Genomic DNA, 17920 nt, shown 5'->3' with positions numbered 1-17920 from the left:
CTTAATCCTGAGTTCTAGTTTGATTGCACTGTGATCTGAGAGATAGTTTGTTATAATTTCTGTTCTTTTACATTTGCTGAGGAGAGCTTTACTTCCAAGTATGTGGTCAATTTTGGAATAGGTGTGGTGTGGTGCTGAAAAAAATGTATATTCTGTTGATTTGGGGTGGAGAGTTCTCTAGATGTCTATTAGGTCTGCTTGGTGCAGAGTTGAGTTCAATTCCTGGGTATTCTTGTTGACTTTTTGTCTCGTTGATCTGTCTAATGTTGACAGTGGGGTGTTAAAGTCTCCCATTATTAATGTGTGGAAGTCTAAGACTCTTTGTAGGTCACTCAGGACTTGCTTTATGAATCTGGGTGCTCCTGTATTGGGTGCATATATATTTAGGATAGTTAGCTCTTCTTGTTGAATTGATCCCTTTACCATTATGTAATGGGCTTCTTTGTCTCTTTTGATCTTTGTTGGTTTAAAGTCTGTTTTATCAGAGACTAGGATTGCAACCCCTGCCTTTTTTTGTTTTCCATTAGCTTGGTAGATCTTCCTCCATCCTTTTATTTTGAGCCTATGTGTGTCTCTGCACGTGAGATGGGTTTCCTGAATACAGCACACTGATGGGTCTTGACTCTTTATCCAATTTGCCAGTCTGTGTCTTTTAATTGGAGCATTTAGTCCATTTACATTCAAAGTTAATATTGTTATGTGTGAATTTGATCCTGTCATTATGATGTTAGCTGGTGATTTTGCTCGTTAGTTGATGCAGTTTCTTCCTAGTCTCAATGGTCTTTACATTTTGGCATGATTTTACAGCAGCTGGTACCAGTTGTTCTTTTCCATGTTTAGTGCTTCCTTCAGGAGCTCTTTTAGGGCAGGCCTGGTGGTGACAAAATCTCTCAGCATTTGCTTGTCTGTAAAGGATTTTATTTCCCCTTCACTTGTGAGGCTTAGTTTGGCTGGATATGAAATTCTGGATTGAAAATTCTTTACTTTAAGAATGTTGAATATTGGCCCCCACTCTTTTCTGGCTTGTAGAGTTTCTGCCAAGAGATCTGCTGTTAGTCTGATGGGCTTCCCTTTGAGGGTAACCCGACCTTTCTCTCTGGCTGCCCTTAACATTTTTTCCTTCATTTCAACTTTGGTGAATCTGACAATTATGTGTCTTGGAGTTGCTCTTCTCGAGGAGTATCTTTGTGGCGTTCTCTGTATTTTCTGAATCTGAATGTTGGCCTGCCTTGCTAGGTTGGGGAAGTTCTCCTGGATAATATCCTGCAGAGTGTTTTCCAACTTGGTTCCATTTTCCCCGTCACTTTCAGGCACATCAATCAGACGTAGATTTGATCTTTTCACATAGTCCCATATTTCTTGGAAGCTTTGCTCGTTTCTTTTTATTCTTTTTTCTCTAAACTTCCCTTCTCGCTTCATTTCATTCATTTCATCTTCTATCGCTGATACCCTTTCTTCCAGTTGATCGCATCGGCTCCTGAGGCTTCTGCATTCTTCACGTAGTTCTCGAGCCTTGGTTTTCAGCTCCATGAGCTCCTTTAAGCACTTCTCTGTATTGGTTATTCTAGTTATACATTCTTCTAAATTTTTTTCAAAGTTTTCAACTTCTTTGCCTTTGGTTTGAATGTCCTCCCATAGCTCGGAGTAATTTGATCGTCTGAAGCCTTCTTCTCTCAGCTCGTCAAAGTCATTCTCCATCCAGCTTTGTTCCGTTGCTGGTGAGGAACTGCCTTCCTTTGGAGGAGGAGAGGTGCTCTGCTTTTTAGAGTTTCCAGTTTTTCTGCTCTGTTTTTTCCCCATCTTTGTGGTTTTATCTACTTTTGGTCTTTGATGATGGTGATGTACAGATGGGTTTTTGGTGTGGATGTCCTTTTTGTTTGTTAGTTTTCCTTCTAACAGACAGGACCCTCAGCTGCAGGTCTGTTGGAGTACCCGGCCATGTGAGGTGTCAGTGTGCCCCTGCTGGGGGGTGCCTCCCAGTTAGGCTGCTCGGGGGTCAGGGGTCAGGGACCCACTTGAGGAGGCAGTCTGCCCGTTCTCAGATCTCCATCTGCGTGCTGGGAGAACCACTGCTCTCTTCAAAGCTGTCAGACAGGGACATTTAAGTCTGCAGAAGTTACTGCTGTCTTTTTGTTTGTCTGTGCCCTGCCCCCCAGAGGTGGAGCCTACAGAGGCAGGCAGGCCTCCTTGAGCTGTGGTGGGCTCCACCCAGTTCGAGCTTTCCGGCTGCTTTGTTTACCTAAGCAAGCCTGGGCAATGGCGGGCGCCCCTCCCCCAGCCTCGCTGCCGCCTTGCAGTTTGATCTCAGGCTGCTGTGCTAGCAATCAGCGAGACTCCATGGGCGTAAGTCCCTCCAAGCCAGGTGGGAGATATAATCTCCTGGTGCGCCGTTTTTTAAGCCCATCGGAAAAGCGCAGTGTTCAGGTGGGAGTGACCCAATTTTCCAGGTGCCATCTGTCACCCCTTTCTTTGACTAGAAAAGGGAACTCCCTGACCCCTTGTGCTTCCCGAGTGAGGCAATGCCTCGCCCTGCTTCGGCTTGTGCACGGTGCATGCACCCACTGACCTGCGCCCACTGTCTGGCACTCCCTAGTGAGATGAACCCGGTACCTCAGATGGAAATGCAGAAATCACCCATCTTCTGTGTCGCTCATGCTGGGAGCTGTAGACCGGAGCTGTTCCTATTCGGCCATCTTGGCTCCTCTCCCCTAAAATCATTACTTGTTGAGTCTAGTTTCTCACCTTACATCAACACATTCTTGTCCATTATTTTGACAAAACAAACTTCTTACTCATCTCACTGAGAAAGATAACTGGCAATTATATAAAGTACTAGGAATTTGAATTCAGTACTCTATTAAAAGAATATTACATTATGAACGAGTACTAATTTTTTCTCCCCTTTAGAAATCCAAAGATCAATATTAATATCAGAGACTCTTTTAACATAATATTAAGGTAACAGGTTAAATAAGAAAATAATGGATAATAATTTACTACATGTCTAAAAGTCATTGCTAAAACTTAGAACCGAATTCTAGTAAATGCATTTTATTAGATGAAATAAAATAGTTTTTCCTTGCTAAACAGAAAGCCAGTATTACATTCAATAGCAACGTCTATGCATGAATCACGGTGTATATGTCCAGTTCTAAGAAGCTTATATAAACCATTCTAATCTAAGTCTTTAAATCCAAACTTGAACTTAATAATACTTGATTTAAAATAAACTTGAAAAATGTTTATTTAGAAGAACATATGCACTATTACTGAATAAAAAGAGACCTGCTCCTCTCAGACTGCAGAACATATTATTTAGAATAAAAACATAAAACACTACACAATTTGTGCAACGTTTTAAACAGTGAGTGGAACAGAAGGGAAAGAACTAAAATAATAATTACATACCAACTCTTATTATATGATAATGTAAACTTTCTGAGGAAAAACATTAAGACACAATTATTACATAAGTATATTTGGAACAATTATGGAAAATGTTATTTCCATCTCTTACCTCTTAATTTGAAATATATGCAAAACCAGCATTAACATGGAAATTTATAGTGAGAAACATCTACATTCAGAAAGAAGAAATATCTCAAATGAACAACCTAAGTATACCTCAAGGAACTAAAAAAAAATGAACAAAGTTCATTTTGAGAACTAAGCTCAAAGTTAGCAGAAGAAAGGAAATAATAAAGATTAAAACAAAATTAAACAAAGCAAAAACAATTTAAGAATCAGTGAAACTAACAGTTGGAATTTTTAAAAAATCAACAAAATTGATAATAAAATCAGAAATTAAAGAGGAGACATTATAACTGATGCAACAGAAATAAAACACATCATAAGGGACTATTATAAAATATCATATACCAACAAATGGGTTAACCTAGAAGAAATGGATAAATTCCTGGAAACATACAACCTACCAAAACTACATCATGAAGAAATGGAAAACTTGAACAGGCCAATAATGAGTAAGACTGAAAAAGTAAATATAAACCTCCTAACAAAGAAAATCCCAGAACCAGATGCCTTCATTGGTAAATTCTATGAAACATTTAAAGAAAAACAAACACCAATCCTTAAGCCCTTTCAAAAAATCGGAGAGAAACTTTCAAAGTTGTTTTATGAAGCCAGCATTGTCCTGATACCAAAGTCAAAGACACTGTAAGAAAAGAAAACTATGGGCCAATATCCCAGATGAATAGAGATGCACAGATCCTCAACAAAATACTATAAAACTAAATCCAATAGCACATTAAAAAAATCATACAGCCTGATCAAGTGGGACTTACATCTGGGATGCAAAGATGGTTAAACATATGCTAATCAATTAATGTGACTGAAAGATGAAAATAACGTGATCATTTTGATGAATGCAGAAAGGACATTTGACAAAATTTAACACAATTTCATAATGAAAATTCTCAACAAACTATATATAGCAGGAATTTACCTCAACACAATAAAGGTCATATGAGAAGCCCATAGCTAATATCATTCTCAATAGTGAAAAATTGAAAGATATTCCTCTAGCTCAAAAATAAGGCAAGTATGCCCACTCTCACCACTTCTATTCACATTGTACTGGAAGTTTTAGCAAGAGCAGTTAGGCAATTAAAGTCATTTCAAATCAGAAAGGAAGAAGTAAAATTACCTTGTTTGCATACAGCATGATCTTAAATATTGGAAATCCCAAAGACACCACACATACAAAAAAAGTTAGCACTAATAAACCAATACAGGAAAGTTGCAAAACAAAAAATCAACACACAAACATCAGTAGCATTTATATGTACTAACAATGAACTATCCAAAAAGTAATTAAGAAAAATAACATATTTATAATAGCATTAAAAAAATAAAATTCTTAGGAGTACACTCAACCAAGAAGGTGAAAGACTTGTATATTAAAAACTACAAATCAATGATGCAAGAAATTTAAATTGATGCAAATACATGGAAAGATATCTTGTTCATCAGTTGGAAGACGTAATAATGTTTCAATGTCCATACTACCCAAAGCAATCAACTGATTCAATGCAATCCCTATCAAATTCCCAATGACATTTTTTGCAGAAATAGAAAAAAATCTTAACATTTTTATAGAACCAGAGAGGCTAAATAACCAAATCAATCTTGAGAAAAAAACACATAACAGGAGATATAACAGTTAATGATTTAATAATATATTGCAAAGCTATGCTAATTAAAACAGTGTGGTTCTGATATAAAAAGACAAAACAGACATATAAGACAGAATTGACAGCCCTGAAATAAATCTATATGTATACAGTCAACTGATCTTTGACAAGAATGCCAAGAATACACAATGGGGAAGAAAACACACAATGGGGAAATTTCACATATATTGTTGTGGAAACTGGATATCCATATGCAAAAGAAAGAAATATGGCCCTTATACTATACAAAAAGGAAAAAGGTCTCAAAACAGCTTAACAACAATGTAAAAAGTGAAACTATAAAACTCCCAGAAGAAAACATACGAGAAAACCTTCACGACATCATGCCTGGCAGTGATTTCTTGGGTATGACACCAAAAGCACAGGCAACAGAAAAGCTAAATGATAAGAACACATGGACACATAGAGGAGAACAACACACAGTGGGGCTTATTGGAGGGTAGAGGGTGGTGATGAAATAATCTGTGCAACAAACAACCATGACACAAGTTTACCTATGTAACAAACCTGCACATGTACCCCTACACTTGAAATAAAAGTTAAAAGAAAAGGAAAAAAAAAAAGGAGACTATATCAAACTAAAAGCTGCTGCACAGCAAATAAAACAATCAACAGAGTAAAAAGGCAGCATACAGAATGAGAGAAAATATTTGAAAGTCATATATCTGATGAGGGGTTAATATTCAAAATATGCAAGGTACAACTCAACAGCCAAAAAACAAATAATCTAATTACAAACTGGGCGAAGGACTTGAATAGATATTTCTCTAAAGAAGACATAAAAATGGCAACAAGTATGTGAAAAAATGCTCAACATCACTAGTCGTCAGGGAAATGCAAATTGAAACTACCATATAATAGCACCTAATACCTGTAAGAATGGAGATTATCAAAAAACAACAACAAAAAAGATAACGAGTTTTGGCAAGAATGCGGAGAAATTGGAAGCTTCATGCACTCTTGTAGGAAAGGCAACTGGTGCAGCTACTATAGAAAACAGTATGATTGCTCCTCAAAAAATAAAAATGGAATTGCCATGTGATCCAGCAATCTTACCTCTGGGTATACATCCAAAAGTATTAAAATCAGGATCTTGAAGATCTTGTGTTCACTGCACCATTATTCAAAATAGCCAAGATTAGAAACAACCTAAATGTCCATCCACAGATGAATGGATAAACAAAATGTGGTATATATGTACAAGAAAGTATAATTTAGCCTTTAAAAAGAAGGAAATTCTGTCATCTGTGACAATATAAATGAGCCTGAAGGACATTATTCTAAGTTAAATAATCCCTGTTATAGAAAGATTAATACTGCTAGATTCCACTCATTTGAGGTATTTACAATAGTCAAATCCATAGAAACAAAGAGCACAATGGTAGTTGCCAAGAGCTGGGGGAAAGGAAAAATGGAAAGTTGTTGGTTAATGAGTATAAAGTTTTTGTTATGCAAGATGAATATGTTCTGGAGATCTGCTGTACAACCCTGTGCCTCTAGTTAACAATATTGTACTGTGCACTTTAAAATTTGGTACTAAGGTAATCTCATGTTAAGTGTCTTTAACAGTAAAAAAGAAAAAAAAAAGAAAAATAGTTGCATCATATTTTGTGTAAAATTATGAGAGGATAAATATAACCACCAGGAATATTTTCAATTGACTCTGCAATTGCCAGTAATAAACACACACAGTGAACTCTTTGGAGGCAGAATACTATTTTCTTCACTCTTATTGACAATAAACAAAAGAATGCTCGTGGAATAAGGCATTTCATTTATGATTTTATTTTATTGTAATTCATTTCCTGCTTATGAAATTATTTGAAGTAGCTCATTCTTTATATGGTAAATTATTTGTTTCTTATTTGTACAGATATTTAATTATTGATTCATTCTCTAAATGTTTCATAATATAGAAAGAAAAATATTTTGGATCACTGTAAAATATGTGAGCATGCCCTCTGAGCCCTGCAACTAAAGTGCTCCTCATCTTGTCATTGTCTTAAATTTATTCAAACTTTGAAACATTTTTATTTTATTTTATTTTATTTTATTTTATTTTATTTTATTTTATTTTATTTTTATTTTTATTTTATTTTAGAGACGGAGTCTTGCTCTGTCACCCAGGCTGGAGTGCAGTAGCGCAATCTCGGCTCACTGCAACTTCTGCCTCCTGGGTTCAAGGGATTCTCCTGTCTTAGCCTTCAGGGTATCTGGGACTACAGGAACATGCCACCACGGCTGGCTAATTTTTGAATTTTTAGTAGAGACAGGGTTTCGCCATATTGGCCAGGCTGGTCTCGAATTCCTGACCTCAAGTGATCCACCCGCCTTGGGCTTCCAAAGTGCTGGGATTACAGGTGTGAGCCACCACCCCTGGTCCTGAAGCATTTTAAAATGCAAAACCTTTCTTGATTCTACCTGCAACCATGTAGGAAGTGTCTGTTCCCTTTTCCACTTTCAAATATGTATATATTTATTTCTAGTAGGTTTAATGGAAATACATAGGTTTAAGAGCTGAGGGGACAAAAAAACATATTGAAATCCTAAGTCTGCTACGTATTTGCAGTGTGAGTCTGAACTGAGGATTTTTGCACCTCCGTTCTCTCATTTGCTAAATGGAATACTGCCATTTCCCTCACAAGGTTGGTATGTGTCTTTTATGAAAGAATATGTGCTAAATCTCAACAAAGTTCATTTTTACTCTTATGTAACATTTTTAGTGTTTGCATTTATAGTTATCATTAAATTTTAGTCCTGCTATAATATTTTGTCAGTTTACTTGAGGTCAGACAGCGTATTTTATTCATTCTAGTATCTCATTTGACTCAGTGAGTTTGGGAAATCAGTTGATGTGCTCCAATCTCTGGAAATCAAAAAGACCAGAAACTGCTTGCCCAATTAATTCCTGAAAGTCAGTGTTTGTATAGTGGCTGGAGTGTCTGCTAGAGTATTTGTACCCACTGTGCATTATCCCTGATTCGTAGGCATTAATTCTTCAAGAGGTGCTTGTTGATGATGTTTGAAAAAAAAAAAAGGATTTTGTTGCCGCTCTCCAATTTGAAAAATACATAATGGCTTTTTTCTTTTTTACAGTCTTACTATATAAAGTTTTTATTCCTTTATATCTGACATCTCGTTAGTGTTGGTGTCAGTCTGGATGGTGTCTCTTAACTCTTTGTGCCTTTGAAAAATCACCAGGAACTGCCCTTATGGGCAAGTCCATGTAGACCCACAACACACAGGTGAAAAGTAAATTGAATAATGGTCTCTAAAGAAAATGGGCCACTTCGAGAGCGACTCCTGGGGCATCCAGGTTGGACAGTTCACCCTTGCACAGTCCAGACTGCAGCTGCTCTGGAAGGTCTTCACTATGGGATAGTCCTGAGATTCTTAGGAAACAACATTTATATGTTGGTCTCTCATCTATTTCTAGTCTTCTTTCATTTATCACAGCCTCTAACAAAATTACTCCAAGAGGATTTTGAAATCTCTGGTAAGAGCTATGCCACGTTCATAGTATTTTCCTAAGACAGTAACAGACAAAATTTCTTGGGCATTATTTTAGAGTTGGGAAGATTGGGTTGAAGAGAGACCAAAAATTTGGTATTGTAGATTTTTATTCATGCCAGATCATTGGGGAAATAAAGTTTTACACTGCAATTAACAATCTCTCTTTGAATCAAGATGGTAATGCTAGAGAGGAGAGGAAGGGTAAGAAGTGACTCAGTTAATATTTGTTACAGTTGTTATTACTACTGCTCTTACGTTACGGCTGTTACTCCCATTGTTTCTAAAAAATAATCAAAGCATGAAGATCTTAAAACATGTTCATAATTGTATGGAAAAATTGAATCTCTGCCCCTATATTTTTCTGTGGTCTTAGAGTCAATCTGTTATCATTGTTAACATCAATTAAACTATTTATGTTTGTTTTGCCCATAGTCTGTAGCAATCCTACCATGTTCTCTCACAAATAACAATGTTTCTAAATGTCCAAAAGATATAGCAGCTAAGCCATACAAGTTCATCACAGAAGGGACCTGCATGTTCTCAAAACACACACACACACACAAACACACACTTTCTCTCACACATACCCGTGAATGTTTTTCTTTTTTTTTCTACAAAACCAATAGGTATTAAACACTAATTAACTTATATTCTTAAAGAAAGGCAATGAAAATCTATTTGCAAGTCTGAAATATATTTTGATCATACCTAGAATTGTTGACATTATTTTCAAGAGGATAATATCCCAGGAGCACACAGAGGTTTTATTATTCTTCTATAAATATTATCTCAAATAACATTTTGTCAAATATGTTCTGTTTTACTTATAAATATTACTTTGTACCATAATCGTTTAGTAGGTACATCATTTAGTATTCTGCTTACTAAGTAAAAGAAATAGTGATTTCATTACCCAAATTAATGCTGACCACATAAATTGTGTAGTCCTTAGTTATGCTTTAAAACATTGTATGAATTCCTAGCAGAAAGACATTTTCTGCTTTTTAAGTTAATCAAATAATGTTAAGTAGTTGTCTGTAATATATTTCTTTGGGTCTCAAACAAGTATCTAACTATCTAGAGTAGTAAGTAGGGAAAAATCACTTAAAGGGCAATCCTGTAAGGCTAAAGTAGAAAACTGTACAAATCAACATATATATTAGCTTGAAATGGAAAATATAAATTAATTGTTACAAAGCAGAAGCTCACAAATTGGCAAGAAAGAATGTCATAGAAAGTAACCTATTACAAGCTAATCGGAAACCAACCAGATGCCATCTCCAGTAGGACTGAATGATTAAAATAATTTAATTATTTTCCAATGAATAATTATATAGTTTATTCTCCTTTCTTGACCTTTCAGTTAAAGTTAAAATCTTATTGATGACATTTTTATAGAACACCACCAATAAAAACCATATTTACACAGAAGCCAATCTAAAAGAGATCCCAATAGTTAAAGCTAAAACAATTTGAGCAAAAAAATAATAATAGTATTGAGTTTTAGCAAATAATTAGATATTCAAGTCCATACTGATTTTATTTTTTATTTTTCAAATTATTACATAATAATATTGACTTTTTAAATTGATGTACAATTCAATACATTTTAGCATATTTATGGATTTGTATAACCATCACCACAACCATGATACAGAGCAGATCCCTCACAATAAAGAACTTCTTTTTACTATCCTTTTATAGTCACTTCCTCCCTTGACCCTTATCTCTGGTAACCATTGATCTATTCTCTAAAAGTAAAATTTTTTAAATTTTTTTCTAGAATACCCTACAAATAGAACCATACAGTATGTAACCTTCTCAAACAGGTTTCTTTCCCTCAGCCCAATACATTTGATATTCATCCAAGTTGTTCCAAATATCATCCGTTTGTTCTATTTTGTTGGCATTAATCCTATTGTCTGGATATAAACAGTTTGTTTATTTACCCACTGAAGGACATTTGGATTCTTTTCAGTTGTCTTATTGTTTTGTTTTTGCAAGTATTAACACAGTTGCTATAAACATTTTTTTTACAGATACTTGTGTAAATATAGGTTTGCAGTTCTTTCGGCTACATACCCAGGAGTTGAATGGCTGTGTCGGTGGAAAAATATGTTTAACTTTGTAAAAAAATTACTAAAACATTTTCCGACTGGCAATACCATTTTATATTCCCTCTAGCAATGAATGATCTTCACATTGCATTCTTGCTGGTCCTGAATATAGTCAGTATTTTTTCTTTAGCAATCTTATAGATGTGTAGTGATATCTTATCATTACATTAGTTTGCATTTCTCTGACAGCTGATGAGGTCGAATTTATTTCCATGTGCTTTTTTGCCGTAACTGTATCTCTTTTTGCAAGTGTTAGTTCAACCATCTGACCAATTATTATATGCATTGTTTGTTTTCTGATTGTTGAGTTTTGAGAGTTCTTTATATAGTCTTGATAAATATCATTTGTTGGATATATAATTTACAAGTAATTTTACTCAATACATAGCTTGTCTTTATCCACTTAACAGTGTATTTCACAGAGCAAAAGTTGTCTTTAAATTTTGGTAAAGTCCAGTTTACCCTTTTTTTTCTTTTATGGATCATACTTTCGATGTTGTGTTTAAGAATTCTTCATCTATTAGACACCTATCTCTTGCCATATGTGCAAATCAAATTAAAATGGATTAAAAAATTTAAATCAAATACCTCAAACCATGAAACTACTACAAGAAAACATTGGGGAAAATCTCCAGGACATTGATCTAAGCAAAAAAATTATTGGGCAATACCCCACAAGCACAGCCAACCAAAGCAAAAATGGACAAATGGGACCACATCAAGTCAAAGAGCTTCTGCACAGCAAATAATACAATCAACAAAGTGAGGAGACATCCCAAAGAATGGGAGAAAATATTTGAAAGCTAGCCCTCTGACAAGCTATTAATACCCAGTATACATAGGGAGCTAAAACAACTCTATGGGAAAAAAATCTAATAATTCCATCAAAACATGGGCAAAAGGCTTGAATAGACATTTCTCAGAAGACATACAAATGGCAACCCAGAATATGAAAAAGGTACTCAACATCATTGATCGTCAGAGAAATGCAAAGCAACACTACAATGAGATATCACCTCAATTCAGTTAAAATGCCTTGTATTCAAAAGACAGGCAATAGCAAATACTGGTAAGAATGTGGAGAGAAGGGAACCCTTGTATACTATTGGTGGGAATGTAAATTATTACAAGCACTGTGGAGAACAGTTTGGAGGTTGCTGAAAAAACTAAAACTAGAGCTACCATATGATCCAGGGATCCCACTGCTGGGTATATACCAAAAGAAAAAAAATCAGTATATCAAAGAGATATCTGCGCTTCTATGTTTGCTGCAACACTGTTCACAATAGGCAAAATTTGGAAGCAACCTAAGTGTACATCACCAGATGAATGGAAAAAGAAAAGTTGGTAGATATATGCAATGGAACATTATTCAGCCCTAAAAAAGAATGAGATCCAGTCATTTGCAACAACATGGATGGAACTAAAGATCATTATGTTAAGTGAAATAAGCCAGGCATGGAGAGAAAAACATCACATGTTCTCACTTATTTGTGGGATCTAAAAATCAAAACAATTGAACTCATGGACATAGAGTATAGAAGGATGGTTATGGGAGGCTTGGAAACATAGTGGGGCACTGGGAGAGGGGTGGAGGTGGGGATGGTTAATGGGTATAAAAGAAACAGTTAGAAAGAATGAGTAAAACCCACTATTTGATAGCACAATAGGGTGACTATAGTCAATAATAACTGTACACTTTTAAATAACTTAAAATGTGTAGTTGGATTGTTTGCAACTCAGTGGATAAGTGCTTAAGGGAATGTACACCCCACACTTCATGATGTGCTTATCTCACATTTTATGCCTGTATCAAAACTTCACATATACTCCATAAATATATGCACCTACTGTGTACCCACAAAAATTAAAAATTAAAATAATTTTAAAAAGGAATTCTTTATCTAACACCAGGCCACAAAGATTTTCTCTAACATCTTCTTTCAAAAGTTTTATAGCTATATATTTTACATTTAGATACTTGATCCACTCTGAGTGAATTTTATATATGGTGTAACTCTTAGGCTGAGACTGATTTGAGTGGCATATAAATCATAAATTGTTCTAAAAATTTTGTTGAAAAGATATTTTTTCATTAATTCCTCTCTCATATTTTTCAAAAATCAAATGGCCATGCTTATACAGATATATTACAATGCTATCTTTTCTGTTACATTGGTCAATGTGTGTATCTCTGATGATGTCACAGTGTCGTGATTACTATAGCATTATAGTAAATCTTAAGTAATGTTATCCCTCCAAATGGATTTTCCTTATCCATTTGGAAAATCCATTTGGAGGAATAACATTACTTAATTTTAAGATTTACTATGATTCCCAGGCAACATAGCTGAATAGGAACAGCTCCAGTCTGCAGCTCCAAGTGAGACCAATGCAGAAGACGGGTGATTTCTGCATTTCCAACTGAGGTACCCAGTTCATCTTGTTGGGACTGGTTAGACAGTGGGTGCAGCCCACAGAGGATGAGCCGAAGCAGGGTGGGGCATCACCTCACCCAGGAAGTGCAAGGGGTCGGGAAACTCCCTCCCCTAGCCAAGGGAAGCTGTGAGGGACTGTGCCACAAGGGATGGTGGATTGTAGCCCAGATACTATGCTTTTCCCATGGTCTTTGCAACCCGCAGACCAGGAGATTCCCTCCAGTGCCTATACCACCAGGGCCCTGGGTTTTAAACACAAAACTGAGAGGCCGTTTGGAGCTAGCAGCAAGTGGTTTTTTTGTACCCCAGTGGCGCCTGGAATGCCAGTGAGACAGAACCATCAACTCCCCTGGAAAGGGGGCTGAAGCCAGGGAGCCACGTGGTCTTGCTCAGTGGATCGCACCCCCATAGAGCCCAGCAAGCTAAGATCCACTGGCTTGAAATTCTTGCTGCCAGCAGAGCAGTCTGAAGTCAACCTGGGACACTCAAGCTTGGTGGGGGGAGGGGCTTCTGCCATTACTGAGGCTTGAGTAGGCAGTGTTCCCCTCACGATGTAAACAAAGCCTCTGGGAAGTTCAAACTGGGTGGAGCCCACCACAGCACTGCAAAGCTGCTGTAGCCAAACTCTTCTTTAGATTCCCACTCTCCAGCTAGGACATCTCTGAAAGAAAGGCAGCAGGCCCAGTCAGGGTCTTATAGATAAAACTCCCATCTCCCCGGGACAGAGCACTTGGAGGAAGGGGCAGCTGTGGGTGCAGCTTCAGCAGACTTAAACATTCCTGCCTGCTGGCCCTGAAGAGAGCAGCCATTCTCCCAGCACAGTGCTCAAGCTCTGCTAAGGGACAGACTGCCTCCTCAAGTGTTTCCCTGACCCCCGTGCTTCCTGACTGGGAGACTCCATCCAGCAGAAGTCGACAAACACCTCATACAGGAGAGCTCTGGCTGGCATCTGGTGCAAGCCTCTCTGGAGCAAAGCTTCCAGAGGAAGGAACAGGCAGCAATCTTTGCTGTTCTGCAGCCTCCGTTGGTGATACCCAGACAAATAGGGTCTGGAGTGGACCTCCAGCAAACTCCAACAGACTTGCAGATGAGGGGCCTGTTAGAAGGAAAACTAACAAACAGAAGGCAATACCATCAACATCAAGATAAAGGACGACCATGCAAAGACTCCATCTGAAGGTCACCAACAACAAAGACCAAAGGTAGATAAATCCACAAAGATGAGGAAAAACCAGCCCAAAAAGGCTGAAAATTCCAAAAACCAGAACGCCTCTTCTCCTCTAAAGGATCACAACTCCTCACCAGCAAGAGAACAAAACTGGACGGAGAATGAGTTTGAAGAATTGACAGAAGTAGGCTTCAGAAGATGGGTAATAACAAACTCCTCTGAGGTAAAGGAGCATGTTATAACCCAATGCAAGGAAGCTAAGAATCTTAATAAAATTTAGAGGAATTTGTAACTAACATAACCAGTTTGGAGAAGAACATAAATGACTTGATGGAGCTGAAAAACACAGCACGAGAATTTCGTGAAGCATACACAAATATCAATAGCTGAATCGATCAAGTGGAAGAAAGGGTATCAGAGATTAAAGATCAACTTAACAAAATAAAATGAGAAGACAAGATTAGAGAAAGAAGAAGGAAAAGGAAGAAACAAAGCCTCTAAGAAATATGGAACAATGTGAGAAGAACAAACCTACATTTGATTGGTGTACCTGAAAGTGACGGAGAGAATGGAACCAAGTTGAAAAACACTCTTCAGGATATTATCCAGGAGAACTTCCCCAACCTAGCAAGACAGGCTAACATTCAAATTCAGAAAATACAAAGAACACCACAAAGATACTCGTTGAGAAGAGCAATCCCAAGACACATAATCGTCAGATTCACCAAGGTAGAAATGAAGGAAAAAAATGTTAAGGGCAGCCAGAGAGAAAGGTCAGGTTACCCACAAAGGGAAGCCCATTAGACTAACAGTGAATCTGTCTGCAGAAACCCTACACACCAGAAGAGAGTGGGGGCCGATATTCAACATTCTTAAAAAAAAGAATTTTCAACCCAGAATTTCATATCCAGGCAAACTAAGCTTCATAAGTGAAGGAGAAATAAAATCCTTTACAGAGAAGCAAATGCTGAGAGATTCTGTCACTACCAGGTCTGCCTTACAAGAGCTCCTGAAGGAAGCACTAAATATGGAAAGGAAAAACTGGTACCAGCCACTGCAAAAACAAACCAAAATGTAAAGACCGTCAACACTATGAAGAAACTGCATCAACTATTGGGCAAAATAACCAGCTAGTGTCATAATGACAGGATCAAATTCACACATAACAATATTAACTTTAAATGTAAAGGGGCTAAATGTCCCAATTAAAAGGCACTGACTGGCTGACTGGCAAATTGGATAAAGAGTCAAGACCCATCAGTGTGCTGTTATTAGGAGACCCATCTCACGTGCAAAGACACACATAGGCTTAAAATAAAGGGATGGAGGAAGATTTACCAAGCAAATGAAAAGCAAATAAAGCAGGGGTTGCAATCCTGGTCTCTTATAAAACAGACTTTAAACCAACATGGATCAAAAAAGACAAAGGGCACTAAATAATGATAAAAGGATCAATGTAACAAGAACAACTAACTCTCCTAAACATCTATCCATCCAGTACAGGAGCACCCAGATTCATAAAGCAAGTTCTTAGAGACTTACAAAGAGACTTAGACTCCCACACAATAACAGTGGGAGACTTTAACACCTCACTGTCAATGTTGGATGTATCAACAAGACAGAAAGTTAACAAAGATATTCAAGACTTGAACTCAGCTCTGGATCAAGCACACCTAATAGACATCTACAGAACTCTTCACCCCAAATCAGTAGAATACATATTCTTCTCAGCACCACATAGCACTTATAATAAAACCGACCACATAATTGGAAGTAAAACTCTTCTCAGCAAATGCAGAAGAATGGAAATCATAACAAACAGTCTCTCAGACCACAGAGCAATCAAATTAGAACTCAGGATTAAGAAACTCACTCAAAACCACACAACGCATGAAAACTGAACAACCTGCTCCTGAATGACTACTGGGTAAATAACAAAATTAAGGCAGAAATAAATATATTCTTTGAAACCAATGACAACAAAGACATAACGTACCAGACTCTCTGGGACACAGCTAAAGCAGTGTTTAGAGAGAAATTTATAGCACTAAATGCCAACAGGAGAAAGCAGGAAAGATCTAAAATTGACACCCTAACATCATAATTAAAAGAACTAGAGAAGCAACAGCAAACAAATTCAAAAGCTAGCAGAAGATAAGAAATAACTAAGATCAGAGCAGAACCGAAGGAGATAGAGACATGAAAAACCCTTCAAAAAATCAATGAATCCAGGAACTGTTTTTTTGAAATGATTAACAAAATAGATAGACTGCTAGCCAGACTAATAAAGAAGAAAAGAGAGAAGAATCAAATAGACACAATAAAAAAAGATAAAGAGGAGATCACCACTGATTCCGGAGAAATACAAACTACTATCACAGAATACTATAAACACCTCTACACAAATAAATTAGAAAATCTAGAAGAAATGGATAAATTCCTGGACACATAACACTCTCCCAAGACTAAACCAGGAAGACATTGAATCTCTGAATAGACCAACAACAATTTCTGAAATTGAGGCAGTAATTAATAGCCTACCAACGAAAAAAAGCCCAGGACCAGTCAGATTCACAGAGAAATTCTACCAGAAGTATAAAGAGGAGCTGGTACCATTCCTTCTGAAACTATTCTAAAACAATAGACTCCTCACTAATTCATTTTATGAGGTCAGCATCATCCTGATACCAAAACCTGGCAGAGACACAACAAAAAAAGAAAATTTCAGGCCAATATCCCTGATGAACATCAACGCGAAAATCCTTAATAAAATACTGGCAAACTGAACCCAGCAGCACATTAAAGAGCTTATCCACCAAGACCAATTCAGCTTTATCCCTGGGATCCAAGGCTGTTTCAAAATATACAAATCAATAAACATAATCCATCACATAAACAGAACCAATGACAAAAACCACATGATTATCTCAGTAGATGCAGAAAAGGCCTACAGTAAAATTCAACACCACTTTATGCTAAAAACACTAAATAAACTAGGTATTGATGGAAGATATTTCAAAATAATAAAAGCTGTTTATGACAAACCTACAGCCAATATCATACTGAAGGGGCAAAAGCTGGAAGCATTCCCTTTGAAAACTGGCACAATACAAGCATGCCCACTCTCACCACTCCTATTCAAAACAGTATTGGAAGTTCTGGCCAAGGCAATCAGGCTAGAGAAAGAAATAAAGGTATTCAAATAGGAAGACAGGAAGTCAAATTATCTCTGTTTGAAGATGACATGACTGTATATTTAGAAAACCCCATTGTCTCAGGCCAAAAACTCCTTAAGCTGATAAGCAACTTCAGCAAAGTCTCAGGATACAAAATCAATGTGCAAAAATTACAAGCATTCATATACATCAATAATAGACAAACAGCAAGCCAAAACATGAGCAAACACCCATTCACAATTGCTACAGAGAGAATAAAATACCTAGGAATACAACTTACAAGGGATGTGAACCT

The 17920-nt window shown here is 36.8% G+C and overlaps 2 annotated features.

The window, feature by feature from the left end:
- Positions 1762-2270: an enhancer, noted in NCBI's record as "H3K4me1 hESC enhancer chr5:91058389-91058897 (GRCh37/hg19 assembly coordinates)". NCBI's record gives its function as "activates a minimal SCP1, AML or CMV promoter by ChIP-STARR-seq in primed H9 embryonic stem cells {active_cell/tissue: H9 hESC(primed)}" and the evidence as "EXISTENCE:reporter gene assay evidence [ECO:0000049][PMID:30033119]".
- Positions 2271-2780: an enhancer, noted in NCBI's record as "H3K4me1 hESC enhancer chr5:91057879-91058388 (GRCh37/hg19 assembly coordinates)". NCBI's record gives its function as "activates a minimal SCP1, AML or CMV promoter by ChIP-STARR-seq in primed H9 embryonic stem cells {active_cell/tissue: H9 hESC(primed)}" and the evidence as "EXISTENCE:reporter gene assay evidence [ECO:0000049][PMID:30033119]".

This window comes from Homo sapiens, chromosome 5, assembly GCF_000001405.40.
Source record: "Homo sapiens chromosome 5, GRCh38.p14 Primary Assembly".
Lineage (NCBI taxonomy): Eukaryota > Metazoa > Chordata > Mammalia > Primates > Hominidae > Homo > Homo sapiens.
The sequence above is the reverse complement of the archived record's forward strand: the minus strand, read 5'-3'. Positions and strand labels throughout refer to the sequence as shown.